Genomic DNA, 24097 nt, shown 5'->3' on the forward strand with positions numbered 1-24097 from the left:
TTTGTATGATTCTACTTATTGCAATATTCACTTTATTACAATAGTCTTTAATAAAACCTATCATATCTCTAAGATATATCTACATATGTGTATGTTTGTGTATGGATATGACACATTTTTATTATACATATATCATATGACATATTCTCTCGGTTTTTATAAATTTTATTATCTTTGCAAAATATTATTTTGTTATTATTTTATAGTGTACCGAAGTTGTTTCTACCCATTACCTTGCATGATTTTCTCCATACCCTCCCCCATCCTCACACACATGCATTAGGCAGTAATTAAGATTATTTTTGCTGTACTTAATAGATAAGAAACTAGAGCTTGGAAAATACAGTTGACTCTCAAAATTACATAATTGAAAGGGCTGGAGTTGAAACTTGCATTTGGAACTTCTTTTTCTCAAGCGTGGTCCTTCCTCTGACATAATCTATCTATTTTCTCCTAGATCATCTGTTCTCTATATCACAATCTATTATGGGAATATGACTTGAACAGAGTGACTGTTAATGACATAATGAACATGTACATTAAGAGAGGTTTGGAAGAGAGTCTTTTCTTGCTAGAAAGAGTATAGATCTGGAGCCAGGATGCTGGACTAGTTAAGGGCCGCTGGTTGTGGAGTCAGATGGACTGGGATTAAATCTTGACTCGTCCACCAACTATCAACTTGAGTAAGTTTATTATCTTCTTTAAATCTTAGTTTCCTTATCAAGAAAATCATAATAGTTATAACTTGCAGGACTGCTGCAGTGATTAAATCATGTTATGAATGTGAAGCATTTACGACACTGCTGAATACAAGAGTTCCTACTACTTCTTAGCCATAATTATTATATTTTGATTATACTGGAATTAATATGGAAAGCATGACCAGGTAATAATAGCCTTTGAATTCAGCTTGAAGGCAAATAGAATTTGTACATATATAATAATGGTAATATCTACCATTTACTAAGTGTTAATTAAGTGTGAGCATGTTAATACACTATCATATTTAATCCCCAAAACAATTATTTGATTAACTCACAACAGTAAGTAAGTTATTGTTCCATCTTAAAGGTTAGAAATTTGAAGTTCAGAGATATTAAATAATTTTTCTAAGGAAAAGAAAATGATTCAATTTAACTGGAGGTTGAAAGTATTAAAATATTATTGATTCTTCCAATAATATATACACCTTAACTAGGGATCTCAGGAAATATAAGATATTAATCCAAAGAAATATGTTTTTAATGATGGAATTTATGACTCCTAAAAGATTGTGAAGAAGAAATATGAAGGTGGGTATGAGGAATATGGCTGAAATGTTTATTCATTCATTCATTCCACATGTTACTAAACTTCCTATTATGCACCAGATTTCATAGGTTTTCCACACCAGTTTAGAGTATTAAGACTTATTCTCTTTTTTCCCCTATTTATTTTAAATAATTTCAAATGTAAGCAAATGTTACAAAAATAGTACATATTCTTTTCATCTAGATCAATCTAACATTTCACTGCATTTGTTTTCTCTCTCTCCCTCTGTGTACATACATGCATATAGATGTATATACAAACATTTCTTTTTTGGCTGAGCCATTTTATAGTTAGTTACAAGTATGGACACACTCTACCTCTAAATACTTCTGCACATATTTTCTTAGAACAATAAGGGACTACATAACCACAATAAAATGATCACATTTAGGAAATTAATCATCAATGACATTTTGTTATCTAATGTACTTTCAATATTCAAATTTACCCAGTTGTCTCAATAATATTAAAGCTTTTTTCCTAGTCCTAGATCTAATCAAGAAGTACATTGCAGTTAGTCATCATATCTCTTTAATTCAGAAAAGTCAACCAAGCCCTTTTTTTTTAACTCTTAAGACATTGATAGTTTTGAAGAGTCCACGTGATTTATTTTGCATAATATCCCACAATTTGACTTGCTTGCTTTCTCATTGTTTTTTTAATTTTCATTTCTGAACATTACATAGGTGATATTTTCTCCTCATTGCATCACATTGGAAGTTCATGGCATCAACTTGTTTGATCTCTTTATCTATAAGGAAGAGAATGAACTTTTTTGGGGGGGAGGCGGGGCAGATTCTTGCTCTGTCACCCAGGCTACAGTGCAGTGGTGCAATCATAGCTCACTGCAAGCTTGAACTCCTGCACTCAAGTGATCCCCCTGCCTCAGCCTCCCAAGTTGCTGGAACTTCTAGTTTGTGCCACCATGCCTAGCTAATGTATTTAACTTTTTTTTTTTTTTTTTTTTTTTTTAGTCAAAATGAAGTCTTAGTATGTTGTCCAGGCTGGTCTTGAACTTCTGGCCTTAAGTGATCCTCCTGCCTTGGCCTCCCAAAGTGTGGGATTACAGGCATGAGCCACTGTGTCTGGCTGAAATTGGAATTCTAAAGAATCAAATTTTGCCCCAATTTGCTGTGCTGCCTGTGCTTGGAATAAACATTTTGCAGCCATACAGAAATCAGAAGGTAGGTATATTGATGATTCTATTCTTCATTTATGTAACTGAAATTATGTTCATTCAATCATTCATTCATGAATGGATGGCTCCTTCATGAAACAGTTTCTGTTCATGATGGTGAAAAATTATTTTTTATAAGTTAAGGATTTTTACATACAAGGCTGGTATTTATATGGGAAGTCTGACTTACTACTCAAGCATAGTATTCCCAAAGTAGGGTGGGGGGACATCTTTGAAAATTAAAAATCATAAATTTAGGATGAAAAGAAGGAAATTTTGCTTTCTGTAGCAGCCATAAAGTTTATTACTTTACTTGAGTGACTGTGGATCAAGTTACATAACTTTTCCAGTCCGGGTTGACTTATTTCAAAATGAAAGGGATAGATAGGTGATTTCTAAGGTCTCTTTCCTTTTGACATTCTGTTTCTGTCTAAATTTGTTAATATTTTAAAATATAATTTCAATGAATTCATTGAAGACAAATGTATAAGAGGTTATTAGGCAAAACTAGCATTCTTGGAAACTTCCCCAATGTCTTAAGCAGACATCACAGAAAAATCACAATAGGCTCAACGGTACCACTAATTCTTACCTGCTTCTGTTTATTTCGCAGTCTACTATGGATCTTTATGATTCAAATGCCTGACTCATTTTTCTAGAAATGGTTACAGTTTATCCTTCTTTTCATGACTTTATCAACTTATTCTTTGCCTTTTGATCCCTACCATGTTTCACATTTGCTCTTTGACTTTGCTGTTGTTGGCTGACAAAGTTAAACATTTCACTACATCATTCTGGCCCAGAGTCATACAGGACCTCAGAAGTGGTGGTTTTTCTTGGCAATAGCATGAGTTCTAGGCCACAAAAGCAGTCTGATCTAATAAGTCAATCTGTATATTCTTAATTGTTAAACTCAGAGAGGTAAAAACACATTACCCTTTTCAGTCCTACCATCACATTCCACATAATTCATTTCCACTTCATGGTGTATTTGTGGGGAAAGTGAAAGTAGAAGCAACCAAAAGGTTGCTCAAAAAGAGAGAAAAATATAGAGGGATATTGATAATTTAAAATATCACTGGATTAGAGAACAGATTATAGATCCATTTTCTGAATGTGTTTAACTGATGAGGTTTATTCATTCACTTAGTCATTCATGATTCTATAATACTATAAGGATAATGGCAAAGGAAACAGATTCTCTAGCTTGTCTGCTTAAGTTTATATCAGAGCTCTGCTACTTGCCAACAAGGTAAGTCATTTAAACTCTATGTGCTTCAGTTTCTTTTTCTTTTCTTTCTTTCTTTATTTTTTTTGAGATGGAGTCTTGCTCTGTTGCCCAGGCTGGAGTACAGCAGTAGCATGATCTCAGCTCACTGCAAGCTCCATCTCCCAGGTTCAAGCGATTCTTCTGCCTCAGCCTCCCCAGCAACTGGGACTACAGGCATGCATCACCATGCCCAGCTAATTTTTGTACTTTTGGTAGAGGCGGGGTTTCACCATGTTGGCCAGACTGGTCTCGAACTCCTGACCTCATGATCCACCTGCCTCGGCCTCCCAAAGTGCTGGGATTACAGCTGTGAACTGAGCCCAGCACTTCAGTCTGTTTATTTAGAAAAATGAGAAAAATAATAGCAGCTATTTCAAGGTATTGATAGTAATTAATCAGTTAATGTATGTGAAATCATTTAAAACATTGCTTAGCACATAGTAAGTGCTACATAGATATTAGCTATTATTATTAATCAATAGTTATTGATATCCTATTACAAGTCTGACACAAGGAATTGTGTACACATTCTTGAAGTCAAATAATAAGTCAGAGTAATATTTGATGTTCAGTAGTTAACACAGAATATTCCTATCCATGGGATTTCTTCCTCAAAGGATAATAATGACTAAATTTATTAAATGTTTGTTCTTTGCCTAACACTCTTTTAGATGTCCTTTATAATTTTTTTTTTAGTTTTTATTTAGTTTTCATTACACAGGAAGTTTAACTCTTTGCCAAAAGTCATATGACTTGAAAACGGTAAAACCAGGATCAGCCTTAGGCAGCCTGATGCCATGATTCTTTGTTCTAAGTAACAGTGGATATACATAAATCTTTTGAGATGTGTCATACAGTCTCTTCTTTCAATCCACACAGATTTATTGAGAATACGGTACATGCTCCTAGTGGGTAGAGAGGAATCAGACATAGCTCCCGCCGTCAAGGAGATCTGAGTTTCATGATGAAGATACAAAAATGAAAATGACTATGTGTGGAATGTGCTAATAGTGATATGAGCAGGGCAAGCTCAAGGCACGAGGGAAGGTCAAAGGAAGCTTATGAAAGAAAGAGATTCTTCGGCAGTGTTAAGGTAAGTAGACGTGGAGTGGCATTTGAAGCAGAAAAACAACATGTGAGAAAATCCATGATGCATTTGAGAAGTTACAGGATTTGGGGGCTGGTGTTTATATGAGAGCGTGTAGGAGACATGAATTAGAAAGACAAAAGGTGGACGTGAATTCACGTTGTATGCTAAAGTGAGGAGTTTGACATTTATCAAGGAGGCATGGAGGTTCTTTGAAAACATTTAACTAGGACAATGACCAGAGAAAATTTTCTTGGCAAAGATCATTATATAAAACATATCAAGAAATATTTTTATCACGTCTTTGAATTAACGATATGTTTTAGGGAAACATTTGTATTAAATCCTCATTTTTGGGATTTCCACTAATGCATTTCAGTAGGGAGTATTACTAACACTACTTATCACAACTAACAACAACTACTATTTTTTTTTAAGTTTACAGCATGCCATGCTTTCCACTCTTTATCTTCCATCTATTCTGACTTCTTTATTATTCCAATCTTTAGATAAAGAAACCGAGGCTTAAGAATGTTAGGGACTGTGGTGGGGTCGGGGGAGGGGGGAGGGATAGCATTGGGAGATATACCTAATGCTAGATGACACGTTAGTGGGTGCAGCGCACCAGCGTGGCATATGTATACATATGTAACTAACCTGCACAATGTGCACATGTACCCTAAAACTTAAAGTATAATTAAAAAAAAAAATTAAAAAAAAAAAAAAAAAGAATGTTAACCTTTACAAATTTGCCTCAGAATCATGACCCTGTGAAGAAACCTGAACACAGAAGTCTTAAATGGATCCCATATGAACACCCTTTTCTGCCCTTCATATGGGACCCTCCTTCGAGTCCCCACTGCATGTGGGCCATTGTGCCAGGGCCAGTTCCAACCCAGTATACCCAATCAATGGCCATGCTCCTGTCTTCCTTGATAGCAAACCTTGATTTTGTTCTGGCAGTAGTTCTGACCGGGACATACAGGCACAAGGGTTCTGGTGACCTACTGGGAAAGATATTCCTCTGATAAGAGAAGCATGTGAGATGATGGTCCCCTTCAGTCTTTCTTGCTTGCTTTGGTTTTGTATGCTCTTGGAGAATGTCATATTCAGAGCTGAGTAGCTCTCATGTCATCTGTTAATAGAGATCTTTGAAGACAAAAGCCAACATGCTGAGGATGGTGGGAGAAATAAATGTGAAGATTTCAAGTGTCTGTGTGGGATCCTGTGATATGCTGTCCAGATCTCACTGCAGGAAGGAAAGATAATTACTCCCACCCTTCGAAGTGCTGCTGCCCTCAACTGTCGATCCCTTCAGGGATTGTATCAGCAGCACAGAGCGTCCCTTCCTAAGGTCCTAAATCCCATAACTAATGGGCTCAGGATCTCTAAGATGGCAGCCTTTTCCTCCTAATGGAAGAGAGCTCTGAAAGGTCATCTAGTCTCCAGAACTCCTCATTGAAGGTCAGCTGTTTTCCCTGGGCCTTTATAACAATTGGACTTCTCCCTGTGCAAATGCTGCCTCTTTTTCTTTCCTTCCACAATGTTGATCCCCAAAGTACTCTGCAGTAAACCTTTCGCAGGCTAAAAACAATTTTAGAGTCTGATTCTTGGGGAACCCAACCTGCACCAGTCCTTGATGGCTGTTTTGGGCTGCTGAACTAACTATGGATCATTTATATCTAGGTATTTTGTTAAGCTACCAATACACATATCTTATGGTTTAAACTATATTTGACACTGATCACAATATTTTGTACACATTTGTTTATCCTTCCTCCTTTCTAGCTAAGCTGTGAGGTCATGAAAAGTGTTCACTATTGTATTAGTCTGTTTTCACGCTGCTAATAAACACATACCCAAGACTGGGTAATTTATAAAGAAAAAGAGGTTTAATGAACTCACAGTTCCACATGGCTGGGAAGACCTCACAATCATGGTGGAAAGTAAAAGGCATGTCTTACATGGCAGAAGCCAAGAGACAATGAGAGCCAAGCAAAAGGAGTTTACCCTGATAAAACCATCAGATCTCGTGAGACTTATGCACTACCACGAGAACAGTATGAAGGAGACTGTCTCCACAATTCAATTATCTCCCACCGGGTTTCTCCCACAACACATGGGAATTACGGGAGTTACAATTCAAGATGAGATTTGGGTTAGGACACAGCCCAACTATATCAACTACGCTATCCTCATCACTGCGTCGCCCTCCGAGTTTATAACAGTAAATTAAATCTAATAGGCACCCAATAAATATGTGTTACATGAATGAATAAAACCTATACTTATCTAAATGACTCATATTCATGGCCACATCCTGGTACACTGAACTATTTTTGCAGAGCTAAACTTTGTACATGGTGAATTTTCTAAATCACACATTTCAGAAAATGCACTAAGCAACCTGAAAAGGATCACATGCCATATCTAATTTTTTCAAAAAATGTGGCCAGTCTCAAATTGAAAGTTAGTGTTTAGATCTTTATAAAACATTCTATTGGTGGTACAAGACAGCATATTTCAAAACATTGGGTCCTGAGAAATGGTAAACCTACACCAAGCTTTACTCTCTAGAACCTAGTTCCCTCAGAACAAAGTTCATAAATTATTATTTTTTTCTTTATGCAGCTGCAGAGGTAAAACAAAACAAAATGCACTTACAACAAAATAAACAAAAAGTCCCAGGTTCAAATCCTAGTGTGGATGCTAACTAGAGCTTCATCTTGGGCATGAAGTTCTTCTGTTTATTAAATGGGAAAAATCAAGTGTTCTAAGAATGCTTCTTAATTCATTTTAAAGCTGTGATTCAGGCATTTATTCCCAAGTTTTGTGTGCTTATTTTCTGTTTATGATACCATGTGCTAAATTTGTTCTATAATATTTTAGCAAGGAATCATTTTTTCTCTCTTTATTCTTACATTCTCCTGTTAGTTCCTAAGAATTGCTTATTTGCCTGGCGCACTCAGAAACTAAGAGCTAGGTTAACACTTAGATCTCCTTATTAAAATATTTTCCTTCTCTTTCATAGATATTATCTTCCACTTCTCTTATATTAGCTGTACTTTATAACTGTGTTTTACTGCAAACAAGGTCTTCTAGGAAGTACGAAGGCATTTACATTTTTATGTAAAATTTAATGCATGCAATATTAAAAAGAACTCTACCATTTATTGATTATCTTCTATGAATTCAGTGCTTCCAAATCTTTAATCTTAAAAGAAACCTGACAAGGTAAAGAATTTGTCATCTTCCAAATGAGGAAAGTTAGGTTTTGGACAATTAAGTAACATACCCAAGGCAACTCAGTTAAGTCAGTGGTGTATTGAGGATTAGAAGTCAAAGCTCCATGATCCCCAAAGTTGTATTGTTTCCTATACACCAGAGGGCAAAGAGACAGGCAAACAGCAGCTTCCAAGGACATAGATAACTGTTTGCAATTCCTTGCCAAGACGTAAGATAGAGATAACTATTTTTATGAAAATCAAGACTTACATGGAGCTTAATTAATACAATGTTAGATTTTAGAAATTATTTGACAAAAACCTAATGAAAGAATATCGACCAATTTTTTGCATCTATATTTTTCTTTTTTAAGAGATTATTCTTCCCAGTGACCTTCTTAAGTAACCATTAGTAAATAAGGATTACTTGATAAGTTAAGCTTAGAGAAAACTTAGAATGATTAAACATTTAAAAACTTGGCTAGTTTTATTCTTTTTAAGGTGTCAGAACTTGGAAGGAGATGCAGAAATACATAATTTAATTTTCCCCAATTTATTAATCAAATAATATATTAGCTACATGGAGGGCATTTTAAAATAAATAAAATGATCTACTTGGTCATCACTATAACACAACAGTTGTTTTCATTTCTTTTTCTTGTATTTCCTTTAAGCCTCTCACAATATGAGGTTGTGAAATCTTTATATTTGAAGTATTTGTTAAGAATAGCATACCGATGGGAACACAAGATCTTAATAAATATGATTTGATGAAAAGACACCAAAGTTCAGCTTTTGCTCCAGAGAATACAATGTAACCAGCTTTATTTGATATAGAATCATTTACACAGACTGTGGCCTCTAGTTAGAGCTCACAACGGCAGAAAGAAATATTGAATATGAAGAAAAAGATATTTTCCAGTGAGATATTAAAAGATGACATAGGCTGAGAGATCAGGGAGGGGGGCAGTTTGAAAGGGGAAAGATGAAGAATAGTTTCTAGCATGTAGAGAGATAATATCACTGTGTTTTTTTTTTCTTAGAATATCTTTTCAACCAAAAAAGGGACATTCTGTTCACTGAATAAAGGGGTAAATAAATGAATAAAATCAGCTTTTTTTTTCCTACACAGCTGCAGTGGTAAAACAAAATGCACTTACAAAAAAAAAAAAAAAAAAGAAAAGAAAGAAAAAGAAAAAGATAAACAAGAAGTCCCAGGTCCAAATCCTACTAAGCAGGGTCACCCGTCAGCAGGCTGCTGCAGCCACCTAGGTGATGGCAGACAAGTGGTGTGGACGAGTGTGATAGCAGCGGAGATGAAGAGAAGCTTGAGAAATGGAACTTACTTGAGATTAGGAAGTTTGTGCTTGGGAAATCCACAAATTATCTCCCTGGACTGAAGCTACATGGAAAACAAAATCAAAACCAGAGACCATGTCCAAGTTTACCACAAATGATTACTTTGATAGGATCTAAAATGTTTGTAACCCGAACACCATTTCTTGAAGGCAAATCTGATGAGCCGAGAGATAATCAAGAGGGTGGCTTTGTGGGCATAGAATTTGAATAAGGGAGCTAACTGACTCGGATGCTGACTAGCACTAGGGAACATAGCCAGATTCAGCATTCTCACAGTAAGAATGGTCTGGCCAGCAAGGTCAGAAATACTTGAAGTGCAGTGGCCATACTTCTGTGCCTCTTCCTCCAGGAATCATTTCACCGTTGAGATGGGCAATGCTGCTGCCTGGACACTGATATTCCTCCTCCTCAGTCCCTGCTGGCTACCCCTGCTCTGTTTGCTTCTAAAACGTTTTTTTGCTACATTCCTGGGACTAGCAAACTTCTGTTTTTATAGTTCATTTATTATTATATAATTGTCTAGTGGGGATTAAAATTTGCCCATTATTGCCAAGGTATATAAAAGAATATAGCTACTATTTTTTCTACAAATGATCAAAATATTCTCACAAGCCTTTCTTTCCAGAGGTAGAGGGGGTCAAAAGGGGAGATTAACAATTAACCACTTTTCTCTTCAAATTATTTTGGGTTATTTCTCATATCTTTCTCTTTGGAGAGACTGTGTCTTACTTTGTTTGAGCTATTACATCAAAATATCTTGGATTAGGTAATCAATAAATGACAGAAATGTATCGCTCTCAGTTCTAGAGTTTTAGCTGGGAAGCCTAAAATCAAGGCGCAACAGATACAGTGTGTGGTCAAGGCCTAATCCTCATATATGGTGGCTTCTTACTGTATCCTCACATGATGAAATAAAGAAACAGGCATCCTCGAGCCTCTTCTCTAATGGCACAAATCCATTTGGTGGCCCTCATGACCTGATCACCTCCTGAAGGCCCCACTTCTGAATATTATTGCATTGGAGATTACATTCAACATACATATTTTGGGAGGATGCAAATATTCAGACCATCACAGACTGCATGATCAAATTCAAGACTGAAATAGTCTAACGGTATTGTTTCTCTCCTCTAAAGCATCTCCTTTTCTCCTCCTTCTCCCAAATATGGCTTTTTCTTTTTTTGAGCCTTGCACTGTCACTCAGGCTGGAGTGCAGTGGCATGATCTCGGCTCACTGCAACCTCCACCTCCCAGGTTCAAGTGATTCTCCTGCCTCAGTCTCCCAAGTAGTTGGGAATACAGGTGCCTGCCACCATGCCTGGCTAATTTTTTTTGTATGTTTAGTAGAGACAGGGTTTCACTATGTTGGTCAAGCTGGTTTCCAACTCCTGACCTCGTGATCCACTTGCCTCAGCCTCCCAAAGTGATTACAGGAGTGAGCCACCACTCCCAGCCCTTCTTGATAAAGAAGGAAGTTCGTGTAATCTCATGTCAGTAAGAAAAGGAGTCTAGCTGGGGCCCTGTGCCCTTACTAGTTTCTAGCAAGTGTGGTTGGCCTGGTTGCTGTGCACATATTTTTCTTTCTAATTTAAAATTTAAAACAAAAAATGTATATGCGGGTGTTTCATTTTGGTGCTCCCTGCCCCAGATCAAGTGTGAACACTGGGTTGTCTGCATTTTTTACAGATTCATCTTTCAATACATCTCTCCTTACTGATCTTCACCTCCTAGGTCATTCCAATGAAGCAAGGACTATGAACAGCAGCCTGCATCTTTTTCTATTTTTCCAGCCTCTCTGGGGCTCCTCTGCTATCTCCTCACCCCAGTGTCTCCTCTGGGCAGGGCCGTTTGAGGGACTCAGGCAGTATTCTTAACTTAACTGAATCCCTTTTACATCTTTCTTCTTCTGGCCTCACACCTAGAACTGAAAGTTCTCTCAACTCGTCTTTCTGTCTAGCTTCCGTTTCTTCTCCCTTGTGGCCTCAGTCCTTTGCCTTTTTTTTTTTTTTTTTTTAAATGGCAGAAGGTATTTGTGGAAAGCCTGCTTACTGATAAAATACATAAGGGGGTACTCTTTAGATACTATCACCTTTAGGCCAGTCAAGGAGCTAAGATAGTACTATTGTTTATCTTTTCTCTGACCTTTTATGTGTGTATGGTTGATCTTAGGGATTTACTCCCAGGAGGCAATCTCTCTTTTGTCAAAATTCTTAGGGATACAGATAGTCTCTAAAGATAAATATATATTTAAAAACAACAGAACACATACACACACACACACACACACGAAGGAGAAGAAAGAGATAATTAATATTTTAGAAGAGTTGATGTGCTAGACACCGCTAGAAGATTCACACACATTTTCAAAATCAATAACTCACAAGAACTAAATCCTCTATTATAAATCTAAAAATGGAGACTGCCAAAATCTCAGGTTTATGTAGTTATGTATTTACTGATGTCCCACAAGTACTCCAAACCCAAAATGGCTGCTTATCTCTGTATAGAGGCTCCTCATTCCTCATCTCCCATTACAGTGAATGTCGCTAACATCGAAACATACTCTAGGGTCAGAAAGTTTGTCATCATGCTATATCACTTTCTTTAAGCCATTCTCTTATCTAAGCAAATACAAAGATTTTAAATTTCTGCCACCTTAAAATATTCTTCTTTTTTGTCCTGTTTTCTCCATCTACTCTGTGACTGGCTAGACACAGACATTTATCACTGCTCACTTCCACAATGCAATAGAATCCTAAATGGCCTGTTCTATTTCATATTCCCTGTATTATTTCTAAAACATAGATTTGATCAGGTCATATGATATGGTTTGAATCTATGTCTTTACCCAAATCTCATGTCAAAATGTAATCCCCACGGTTGGAGGTGGGGCCTGGTGGGAAGTAATTGGATCACAGAGTTCTCATGAATGGTTTAGTACCATCCCTCTTGGTACTGTATAGTGAGTGAGTTCTTATGAGATCTGGTTGTTTAAAAGTATATAGCACCTTCACCCTTGCTGTCTTGGTCCCACTCCTGCTATGTAATATACTTGCTCCGTTTGCCTTCTACCATGAGTAAAAGTTCCCTGTAGCTTTCCCAGAAGCAGATGTTGCCATGCTTCCTGTACACCCTGCAGAATCATGAGCCAATTAAACCTCTTTTCTTTATAAATTGCCCAGTCTCAAGTATTTCTTTATAGCAATGTGAGCAGGAATTAATACATCATATCCTCACTTAAAATTCTTTAGTGGTTCTCCATTTCTTCCTTAAGAAAGTCCAGCCTCCTTAGCATGATTTGAAAAGCTCCTTGATTTGCCTATTTGCAGTCTTATTTCTATGCTTTGTGGTATTTCACACTTCTATGCCTTTGCTCTGCTCTTTTCTTGGCTTTAAACATATTTTACTTATTTACCTGTCTCTGTCAGTTTATTTACTTGCCAAAATTAACCGAAGAGTAAAGATTTTCTAATGCCCCAAATAAGATCAACCCATTTTCCTTTGTGCTTCTACAAAGTCATATACGATAGGATGCTTTCTTCCTTACGTGCATCTAGTTATCCAGGGATATTAGTGTTAGTATATCTTATGCCCAGAAAACTCTCTGCTTCTTAGTAAGCACCTAATAAGTATTCAAAGCCATGTTGAAAGAGAAATAAAGAGGAAAATAAAAGTAAGAAAATATAGAGCATAAAAAGGAAATAAAAACAACTGGCCAGGATCAGCTCAGAGCTAGCAGGGGCTCCCCATTGCAGGAAAAGGTAAAAGAGAGATCCTCAATGCTCCACATTCAAACTACAGATGTCTGCAATACCGACTACGAGAGAGCCCCTTGGCCCTTATAGTTCCTGAGCTTAGTACAGGGATCTGCCTAGAGTCCGCATGACTACATTGTCCCAGAAAGGAAATTCATGCTGGGTCTCACCCACTCCCGGATCACAAGCTGCTGTAAGAAAGTGCTATTTTGAGAGCTGAGCCAATATCATACTACCTCTTTTCCTGGGTCTCAATAACCCTTGAATTTTCAAATCCCTGGGCTGCTACCAACATCCCTCATATCTACTCACAGGCCTGCAGCATTGAGACATCAGCTTCACTCGGTGTATCAGCTATGTCCCTAGTACCTGAGCCCAGGAAGCACCTTATAACTTGAGCAACAGGTAGTCAGCACATCAGGGAGGCTACTTTTGGAATACAGGGAGCCAAAATATTTGCTCCATGAAGCCTGAGAGCCACTCACCCAAGGCCTCTGCCATTAACAGTGACTCAGTCCCCTCCAGCATTGGGATTGCCACACACCTGATTGTTCTGCCTAGGGAACCAAAACTTGGCCCATTTAGGCTGCTAATGCCACTCCAGGTGCTAGTACACACTGCCCAGGGATGCAAGGAGACCAGCCAGCCCGAGACTGCTGCTGCCATTGCTAATGCCTGTGTATGTCATCTGGAGGCCTGAGGACCAGCCTGCCAAGGCTGTCACCACCAGTAATCTCACACACTTCCATGGGATTCAAAGAACATTCTCACAAGGGTCTGCTGCAGCTGGTGCCCATACATGGCACTCAGGGGCCTAAGACCTGGCCTTCCTGGCAACCTACTTCCCAGAAAAGCATCAATACAGCCTTCACAAGTAATGGCAGCCAGAGTCACTGAGGAACTCATACATACCATTGAGATTAATTACAGCTTAAGAAATCATATGAAGACTCTGATACCCACCCAGAAACAAAGCCAAAGTTCTCTGATCAACTGACACTATAGATTCATCTACAGAAAAAAGTCTTTCCTTATAAAAGCTACCCCATAAAATTGGAAGAAGCAACTGTTGCACAAGATGTGCATATGTCCATGTAAGAACACAAGAAACATGAAAAAGCATGAAAACATAGCACCGGCAAAGGAATACAATGATTCTCCAATAAAAGACTCCAAATGAAGCTTGCAGTGAGCCGAGATCGTGCCACTGCACTCCAGCCTGGGCGACAGAGCGAGACTCTGTCTCAAAAAAAAAAAAAACAAAAAAACAAGACTCCAAAGGAAAAAAAATTATAACATGCTTGAAAAGGAATTCAAAATAATGATCTTAGGGAACTCAGTAAGATACAAGAGAACACAGACAATACAAAAAAATCAAGAAAACAATTCATGATCTAATGAGAACCTAACAAAGAGATAGTTACTATAAATAAAGAGGCCAAGCACGGTGACTCATGCCTGTAATCCCAGCACTTTGGGAGGCTGAGGCGGGCGGATCACAAGCTCAGGAGATCGAGACCATCCTGGCTAACACGGTGAAACCCTGTCTCTACTAAAAATACAAAAAATTAGCCGGGCATGGTGGCGGGCGCCTGTAGTCCCAGCTGCTCGGGAGGCTGAGGCGGGAGAATAGCGTGAACCCAGGAGGTGAAGCTTGCAGTGAGCCGAGATCGTGCCACTGCACTCCAGCCTGGGTGACAGAACGAGACTCTGTCGGAAAAAAAAAAAAAAAAAAAAAAAAGAACAGAACATGGCTGGGCACAGTGGCTCATGCCTGTACTTCCAGCACTTTGGGAGGCTGAGGCAGGTGGATTACTTAAGGTCAGGAATTCAAGACCAGCCTGGCCAACATGGCCCCCCTCTACTAAAAATACAAAAATTAGCCCGGCGGGGTGGCGCATGCCTGTAATCCCAGCTACTTGGGCGGCTGAGGCATGAGAATCACTTCAACCTGGGAGGCGGAGGTTGCAGTGAGCCAAGACTACACTGCACTCCAGCCTGAGCAATAGAGTGAGAATCTGTAAGAAAAAAAAAAAAAAAAAAAAAAAGAACAGAACATGAATCTAGGAAGTGGAAAATTTAATAAATGATAAAAATATAATCCAGAGCTTTAACAGTAGACTAGATAAAGTAGAAGAAAGAATCTGTGCATTTGAAGATAGATCTTTTGTAATAAGCCAGTCATACAAAAAAAAAAAAAAAGAAGAAAGAAAAAGAATGAAGAAAGCCTATGTGACATATGGATGCCATCAAACGAACAATTATTTAAATTATGGCATTCCAGAAGGAAAAGAAATGGAAAAGGACCTAGAAAACATATTTAATAAAATAATAGCTGAAAACTCCCCAAGTCTTGAAAGAAATATAGTCCTCCAGATACATGAAACTTAACATTTCCAAACAGATTCCACCCCCCAAAAAAACCCTCTCTGAGGTATATTATAGTCAAACTGTCAAAAGCTAAAGAGAGAATTCTACAAACAGCAAAAAAATCTGTCAAGTCACATATAAGGTAACCACTATTAGACTTACAGCAGATTTCTCAGCAGAAACCTTCCAGGCCAGGAGAGAATGGGATGATATATTTAAAGTACTGACAGAAAGAGAGGGAGAGAAAAAAAAATGTCAGTGAAGAATACTAGACCCAGGTAAACTATCCCTCAGAAATGAAGGAGAAATAGTATTTTCCAGGCAAGCAAAAATGGAGGAAATTCATCACCACTGGACTGGTCCAACATGAAATCTATAAGAAAGTTCTACATCTGGAATCCAAAGGACAGTATCTATCATCATGCAAAAACACAAAAGTATAAAATTCACTGGTAGAGTGGGTATACAAAAGAGAAAGGAAAAAAAATCTAATATTATCACTACAGAAAATTAACAAATCTCAAAGATTAAAAAGAGGAGGAAGGGAACCAAGGATATACAAAACAGTCAGAAACCAATTAACAAATGACAGCAGCAAGTCTTCATCTGTCTGTAACAATCAGAATGTAAATGGTTTAAATTCCCAAATTAAAAGATACAGACTGGTTGAATGGATTAAACAAACCTAGATCCAAATATATGCTACTCAAAAGAAACTCAGTTCACCTGTAATGACACACATAGACCCAAAGTGAAAGGTTGGAAAAAGACATTTTGTACACATGAAAAGTATATAGGAATGGCAATACTTATGTCAGGAAAAATAGATTTTCAGCCAAAGAATAATTAAAAGAGAAAAAGAACATCATTATATAATGATAGAGGTATCAGTTCACCAAGGGAATATAACAATTATATATGCACTCAACACCAGAATATCTATGTATACAAAGCAAATATTATTAGAAATAAAGAGAGTGAAGGATTCCAATATAATAATAGTCATGACTTCAACACCTATATTTCAGCATTGGATAGATCATGTAGACAAAATCAGCAAAGGAACATTGGAGTTAAACTGCACTCTAGACCAGAAGGACCTAACAGACATTTACAGAGCATTCCGTTCAAAGCTGCAGAATACACATTCTTCTTAACTGCGTATAAAACATTCTCCAGAATAGACCACAGATTAGAGTACAAAACAAGTCTTAACAAATTTTTAAGAATCTAAATCATATCAAGTATCCATTCTGACTACAATAAAGTAAACCTAGAAATTAATAACAAGAGTAATTTTGGAAACTACAAACACATAGAAACTGAACAATATGCTCCTGAATAACCAACAGACCAATATAAAATTTAAAATAAAAAGTTAAAAATTTCTTGAGACAAATAAAAATGGAAACATAACATACCAAACCCTATGGGATACAGCAAAATCGATATCAAAAGGAACGTTTACAGCAATAAATGCTTACATCATAAAAGTAGAAAGATTTTAAATAAAGAACCTAACAATGGCTACCACATGGAACTAGCAAAGCAAGAACAAACCAAACTAAATTAACTGTAGAAAATAAATAATAAAATCAGAACATAATTAAACAAAATAGACACAAAATTAAAAATGATCAATGAAATAAAAATTTATTCTCTTGAAAGAATAAGCAAAATCGACAAATGGTTATCTAGGCTAAGAAAAATGACAGAAAACTCAATCAAAAATATTGGAAATGAAAGATGAGACATTACAACTGATAGCACAGAAATACAAGGGATAATTAGAAACTATTATGAACAACTATATGTCAACAAATTAGAAAACTTAGAAGAAATTGATAAATTCCTAGACATGAGTAACCTTCTAATATTGAACTTCGAAGAAATAGAAAACCTGAACAGATTAAAAACAAATAACAAGTTTGAATCAGCAATAAAAAGTCTCCCAATAAAGAAAAGCTCAGGATCAGTTGACTTTACTGCTGAATTCTATGGAACTTCCAAAAAAGAACATGAATTCTTCTCAAACTATTTCAAAAAATTGAAGAGATGGAAATTCTTAACCCATTCTACAAGTCCAGCCTTACTCTGATAGCAAAACCGGACAGGGACATGACAAAAAAAAAAAAAAATACAGGCCAATATCACTGAAGAACAAGGATGCAAAAATCCTAGAAAAACATTAGCAAACTGAATCCAACAGCACATCAAAAAGATAATAAATCATGATCAAGTGGGATTTATCCCAAGAATGTAAGAATAATCAACATACACAAATAAATAAATGTGATACATCACATCAACACAATGAAGGTGAAAAACTACAAGTTCATTTCAATAAATGCAAAAGAAAGTAGACTGGATAAAATTAATCATCCATTCATTTACAAAAAACCTTTCAACAAATTTTGTATATAAGAAACATACCTCAATACAATAAAAGCCATATAGGAAAACACACAGCTAATATCATACTGAATGGGAAAATGCTGAAAACCTTTCCTCTAAGAACTAGAACAAGACAAGGATGTCTACTTTTACCACTCTTATTCAACAGAATACTGGAAGTCCTCGCCAGAGAAATTAGACAAGATAAAGATATATAGGACATTGAAATTCGAAAACAGGAAGTCAAATTTTCCCTTTCTGCAAATGACATGCTTTTATATAGAGAAAACCCTAGTGGCTTCTCTACAAACCCTTAAGCTGATAAACAAATTAAGTGAATTTGCAGGATACAAAATTGACATACAAAAATCAGTAACATTTCCATACACCAATAATGACTTAGCTGAAAAAGAAATCAAGAAAGCAATCCCATTTTACAATAGATAAAAAATGTTTAAAATATCTAAGAATAAATTTAACCAAGGAGGTAAATATATCTACAATGAAATTATAAAACACTGGTGAAAGAAATTGAAGGAACACAAAAAGTGAAAAGATATCTCATGCTCATGTATCGGAAGAATTCATATTGTTAAAATGATCATACTATGTAAGATGATCTACAGATTTAACACAAATTTCATAAAAATACCAATGGCATTCTTCACATAAATAGAAAAAGAACAATTCTAAAATTTTCATGGAACCACAAAAGATCTCAAATAGTTAAAACAATCCTGATTACAGAGAAAAAAGCTAGAGGCATCACACTACCTGACTTCAAAAATACTACAAACAGCCAGGCACTATGGCTCACACCTGTAATCCCAGCACTTTGGGAGGCTGAGGCAGGTGGATCACCTGAGTTCAAGAGTTTGAGACCAGCCTGGCCATCATGGTGAAACCCCATCTCTACTAAAAACACAAAAAGGAATTAGCCAAGCATGGTGGCATGTGCCTGTAATCCCAGCTACTCGGGAGGCTGAGGCAGGAGAATCGCTTGTACCCAGGAGGCAGAGGTTTTAGTGAGCCAAGATTGCACCCCTGCACTCCAGCTTTGGCAACAGAGTGAGACTCGGAAAAAAAAAAATAAAATAAACACTTCAAACATCTAGTAAGTAAAACAGGATGGTACTGGCATAAAAGCAGACACATAGACCAGTGGTACAGAGAACACAGAAATATATTTACGTATTTATGGTCAACTGATTTTTAACTAAGGTTGCAAGAACATATACTGGGGAAAAGACATCTTCAATAAATGGTGCTGGGAAAACTGAACATCCATGCAGAAGACTGAAACGAGGCTCCTATCTTTCACCATATAAAAAATAAATCAACTCAAAGTAGATTAGAGACTTAAACCTACAACCCAAAACTACAACATTACTAGAAGAAAATATGGGGGAAACACTTCAGGACTTTGATCTAGGCAAATATTCTATAGTAAGACTTCAAAACCACAGGCAATAAAAAGAGAAATAGACAAATGAGATTACAGTAAATGAAACAGATTCTGCATAGCAAAGGAAACTCAGTGAAGACACAATCTGTAAAATGGGAGAAAAATATTTGCAAACTATCCAACAAGGGACTAATATCCACATTATAAAAGGAGCTAAAACAACTCAACTTCAAAAATCAAATAATCTAATTTAGAAATAAGCAAAGGATCTGAATAAACATTTCTCAAAAAAGGAGATGCAAAGGGCCAATAAGTACATGCAAAACTGCTCAACATCATTAATTATCAAGGAAATGGCAAATAACCACCATGAGATATCATCTCATCCAAATTAAAATGGCTATCATCAAAAACACAAAAAATAACAAATGCTGGCAAGGAGGTGGAAAAAATTAAACTCTTACAAACTGTTGGTTGGAATGTAAGTTAGTACAGCTTTGTGGAAAATAATATGGTATTTTCTCAAAAAACTGAAAATAGGAGTACCATATAATTGAGCAATCTCACTATTGGGTATTTATCCAAAGAAAAGGAAAGAGTATTGAAGAAATAGCTGTACTCCCATGTTTGTTGCAGCACTATTCACAATAGTCAAGATACGGGATCAACCTAAATGTCCATCGACAGATAAACAGATAAAGAAAATGTGGTATATATTCATGATGGAATACTATTCAGCTGTAAAAAAGCAATGGAATCCTGTAATTGGAGGCAGCATCAATGAGCTTGAAGGACATTAAGTTAAGTGAAATGAATCAGCCACAGAAAGATAAAGATACCACATGTTCTCATTCATATGTAGGATCAAAAGAAATTGAGCTCACAGAGATAGTAGAATTGTGATTTCTAGAGGCTGGGAAGGGTGAGGAGAAGGGAGGAGAAGTTGTTTAATGGGTGCAAAGTTGTAGCTAGAAGGAAAGACTAAGTTCCAATGTTCTGTAGCACTGTAAGGTGAATATCATTAACAATAATTTTGTGTATACGTTCACAAGCCAGAGGAGAATATTTTGAATAGTCACAAAGCAAAGAAATGATAAATGTTTGAGGCGAAGGATATACTAATTACCCTTATTTGATTATTTAACACTATCTATGTATCAAAATTTTACTCTGTCTTCCATAAATATGTACAATTATTATTTGTCAACTAAAAATAAAAATATAGAAAGTAATGGAAAAGAAAGGAGCGAGAAAGGAAGGGAAGGTTAGTCAGAAATGAAGGAAGAGAAAAAGGAAAGTAGAGAAAAGGAAAGACAGGAGGATGGTAAGATTATTAACCACAAGGTCAGTGTCAAGATTGCTATGTCCACATTTTCAGATGCTTAAGCATTTGTCCTCAGAGTAAGATGAAGGCAAATATGGCCTCTAAAAAGTACATTTGAGAAATCATCCTACCTGGAACACTCCCAGCTTACTTCTCTTCGGTTCCTACTTAGCCAAGCCTTGCTGGGCATTTTCTGCACAAAACATAGTAAGAGTATGTTTTGTTCTATTACTGTTATTTTCAAGACAGATTAGTTAAAATACCTGTTATCCACATCCAAGACTAAGTTATCAGCCTTGGCAGCTTCCAGAAGGGCTGTCTGACCTCCTGGATTGTGATCTGGGTGGTTGCCACATACTCTGACATGAAGGCTCCCTGCCTGACTCTTGGATTCATGGGTCAGTACCTTATAAGGTCAGAGGCCATGGTGTCCCATTATTAGAAGTAAAAAGAAATGTGTGGACAAAGAATGATAAGGCTTATTTGGCATCTGGAAATAGAATAATATTTTGTGGTACTGGATCTGCTTTTGTGCCATATCTGCCTGTCTCTTCTGCTGTTCCTTCTTCTTCCCCGTAGTCATTCCTGTCTTAACTTAGATGGGATGATAATAATGACAATGACAGTGTCAACAACAACAGCAACAACAACACAATCAGTAACAAGTAGCATATCTGTCAGCCATCAGGTACTAAATATATTACATAGAATAGTAAATGTAATTATCAGAATAATTTTTCAAGGTGGGTATCATGTCCACTTTGTAGAATAAGAAGCAAACTTGGAGAGCTGAAGTAACTTAGTCAAATTTACATAGTCAGGTACAGAGTTGGGTTCAACACCCCCACCCCAATGGTTTTCCATTGCCCTAGAGAACATTTCTAACTCCCTACCATCATTTTTCATGAATGGCCTACACACCTTGGTGATATAATCTCCAAATTCTTTCTTCCTTGCACACTTTGCTCTGATTATGCCAATCGAGTGGATTTAATTTTTCATTTATGCCTTGCTCATAAGTGGCTTGGGGCCTTTGTACTGGCTGTTTCCCTTGCTTAGAATATCTATGCTCAATCCTTTACATGGCTGGCTTCTTCTCCTATTCAGAATTCTGCTCAAACATGACCTCCTTGGAAAGGTCTTTCTGGGCACACAATCCAAAGTAGTTCATGATACTCTGCCACACTCCTGTCCCAATTCAAGTGGCCAATAATGCCATTGGCTTCTGAGTTTTGAGACCATATTTCCAAACACACTAGATCATGAGTTTTATATAATCTCTTGGTAAGTAGAAGAAAAAGACATTATGGCCGGGGGCGGTGGCTGATGCCTGTAATCCCAGCACTTTGGGAGGTCGAGGCGGGCAGATCATGAGGTCAGGAGTTTGAGACCAGCCTGATCAACATGGTGAAACCCCATCTCTACTAAAAATATAAAAATTAGCCGGGCATGGTGGCAGGCGCCTATAATCCCAGCCACTGAGGAGGCTGAGGCAGGAGAATCGCTTGAACCCAGAAGGCGAAGTTTGCAGTGAGCTGAGATAACACCACTGCACTCTAGCCTGGGTGACAGAATGAGACTCCATCTCAAAAAAAAAAAAAAAAAAAAAAGAAAGAAATAGACATTATCTCCATTTTATTGATGATGAAGGTGAGGCTAAGAGAGAAATATTAGCAATGAATATAGAAAATTAGCAGATATAGATCCACTGCCATGGGCCCAAAATCATAATGGGTACTTTCACCTCATTACCACAAACAATATGTTATCTCTATCACAAAGAATCAGACACAGGTTTTGAATTTCAAATCCAGCAGTTAATCTACCCTATCTTCCTCTAATAATCATAGCATACATAATAGTTATACAAAATAGTAAGCTTTTCAAAAAAAATCTTAGTTTGCCTATACACAATCAATAAAGAAAACTTGGTGATTAAATAAATATATATGGTGTAGATCAATCAAAGTTTCGGTTGAGAGTAACAGAACAGCAAAAAGAGAAGAGAAAATGCCCAGTTTATTTGTGTAATCCTGTTAGTTCCTCAGAAAGTGCTCCATTGACTTGGTTTTAATTAAGCTTTCCTTAAGCCTAAGATTTCTGGTAATCTAAGTGAGTGTCGGTGCCAGGTGGAAATATGCCAAATACTCCCAGATCTAATTTTAAAAATTCTTCTTCTTAGCAAACATCCATGACACAGATACTGCTGAAAAGTGACCTGTATCCAGCTGAGGAGCACTGGTTGTACATTTGTGTTTGGTGCTGACAGAAGAGTCTACGCTACTAAGAATATTAAGTTATCATCTGGCCTCTGGATTGAGGAGGTAGCATTATGTAAGGAAAACAGCTGGATTAAGCATTAGTAAACTAGTTTTGCTACTAACAATCCATGTGGCCTTGGGGATACTAGGGCACTTTTCTGAATTTAATTTCTATCAGTTGTCTGAATTAAGTAGATCACGCTACGGACAAAAACGCCTCCTGGAATTAAAATGTCATACTTTCTGCTTTTTATTTAAAATAGGTAAAAAGCTTTATGCATTTCTTTAAACAAGGCAACATTTAAAAACTATTTGTATTGAATCCACCATTCTTCCTCTAGTCTTGAATTATTCTACCCTTATTTGTCTGCTTAATTTCTGCCCATTTCTTGAGAGTGACCTCAGATACCGCCCTCCCTGCCCTTTTTTTTTTTTTTCGGAGACAAGGTCTGGCTCTGTTGCCCAGGCTGGAGTGCAGTGGCACAATCTCGATTCACTGCAACTTCCACCTATTGGGCTCAAGCTACCCTCCCACATCAGCCTCCTAAGAAGTTGGGATTACTGGTGTGCACTACCATGCCCAGCTAATTTTTGTATTTTTGGGAGAGATAGCGTTTCACCACATTGCCCAGGCTGGTCTCAAATTCCTGAGCTCAAGCGATCGATCAGCCTCAGCCTGCCAAAGTGCTGGGATTTTAGGCAAGAGCTACTGTGCCCAGAAAGATACCCCCTTTTTTTAGTAAGTATTTACTGACTACTTCAGGTTGCCCTATTACTGACTACTTCAAGTTGCCCTAGTTGGCCTCTTCTTGGTGCTCATAGTCTTCTCTTTTATGTCATTGAGTTCATGGACTCTGTATTTGGTCATTTCTCTAACTATGGCACATTATATAGCATAATCCCCATAGCAGATGGACAATAGGCATGTTTGAATCAATAAATGAAAGATAATAATAAAGAATAGAAATAAGTAATATCTTTCTTACACTTTCATAAAGCTTTAAATTTTACACATTGTTAAATAGGCTTTTTGTTTATTTATGTGTGTGTTTTTGGTTTATTTTATAGATAAGTAAATGGAGGGTCAGAGACACTGTTGGTTACCCAAGATCGTATTCCAGATCACTGGTGAAGCCTGTTAGCAACTCCAAGCATTTGAG

General features: G+C 37.0%; 1 long non-coding RNA gene across 2 annotated transcripts; it reads left to right on the top strand.

Moving 5' to 3' along the window:
• The first annotated feature begins 506 nt into the window (after nucleotides 1-506).
• Nucleotides 507-24091, top strand: LOC105369408 (uncharacterized). 2 transcript variants are annotated; one of them, XR_950354.3, is made up of 5 exons: nucleotides 507-683; nucleotides 2286-2495; nucleotides 4638-4851; nucleotides 22859-23010; nucleotides 24006-24091. It is a non-coding gene; the product is annotated as an uncharacterized LOC105369408 (long non-coding RNA). The 2 variants fall into 2 exon arrangements; XR_007062799.1 differs by lacking the exons at nucleotides 507-683; nucleotides 22859-23010; nucleotides 24006-24091 and adding an exon at nucleotides 5991-6071 and having other exon boundaries at nucleotides 2326-2495.
• Nucleotides 24092-24097: the final 6 nt, after the last annotated feature.

Source organism: Homo sapiens, chromosome 11 (assembly GCF_000001405.40).
Source record: "Homo sapiens chromosome 11, GRCh38.p14 Primary Assembly".
NCBI lineage: Eukaryota > Metazoa > Chordata > Mammalia > Primates > Hominidae > Homo > Homo sapiens.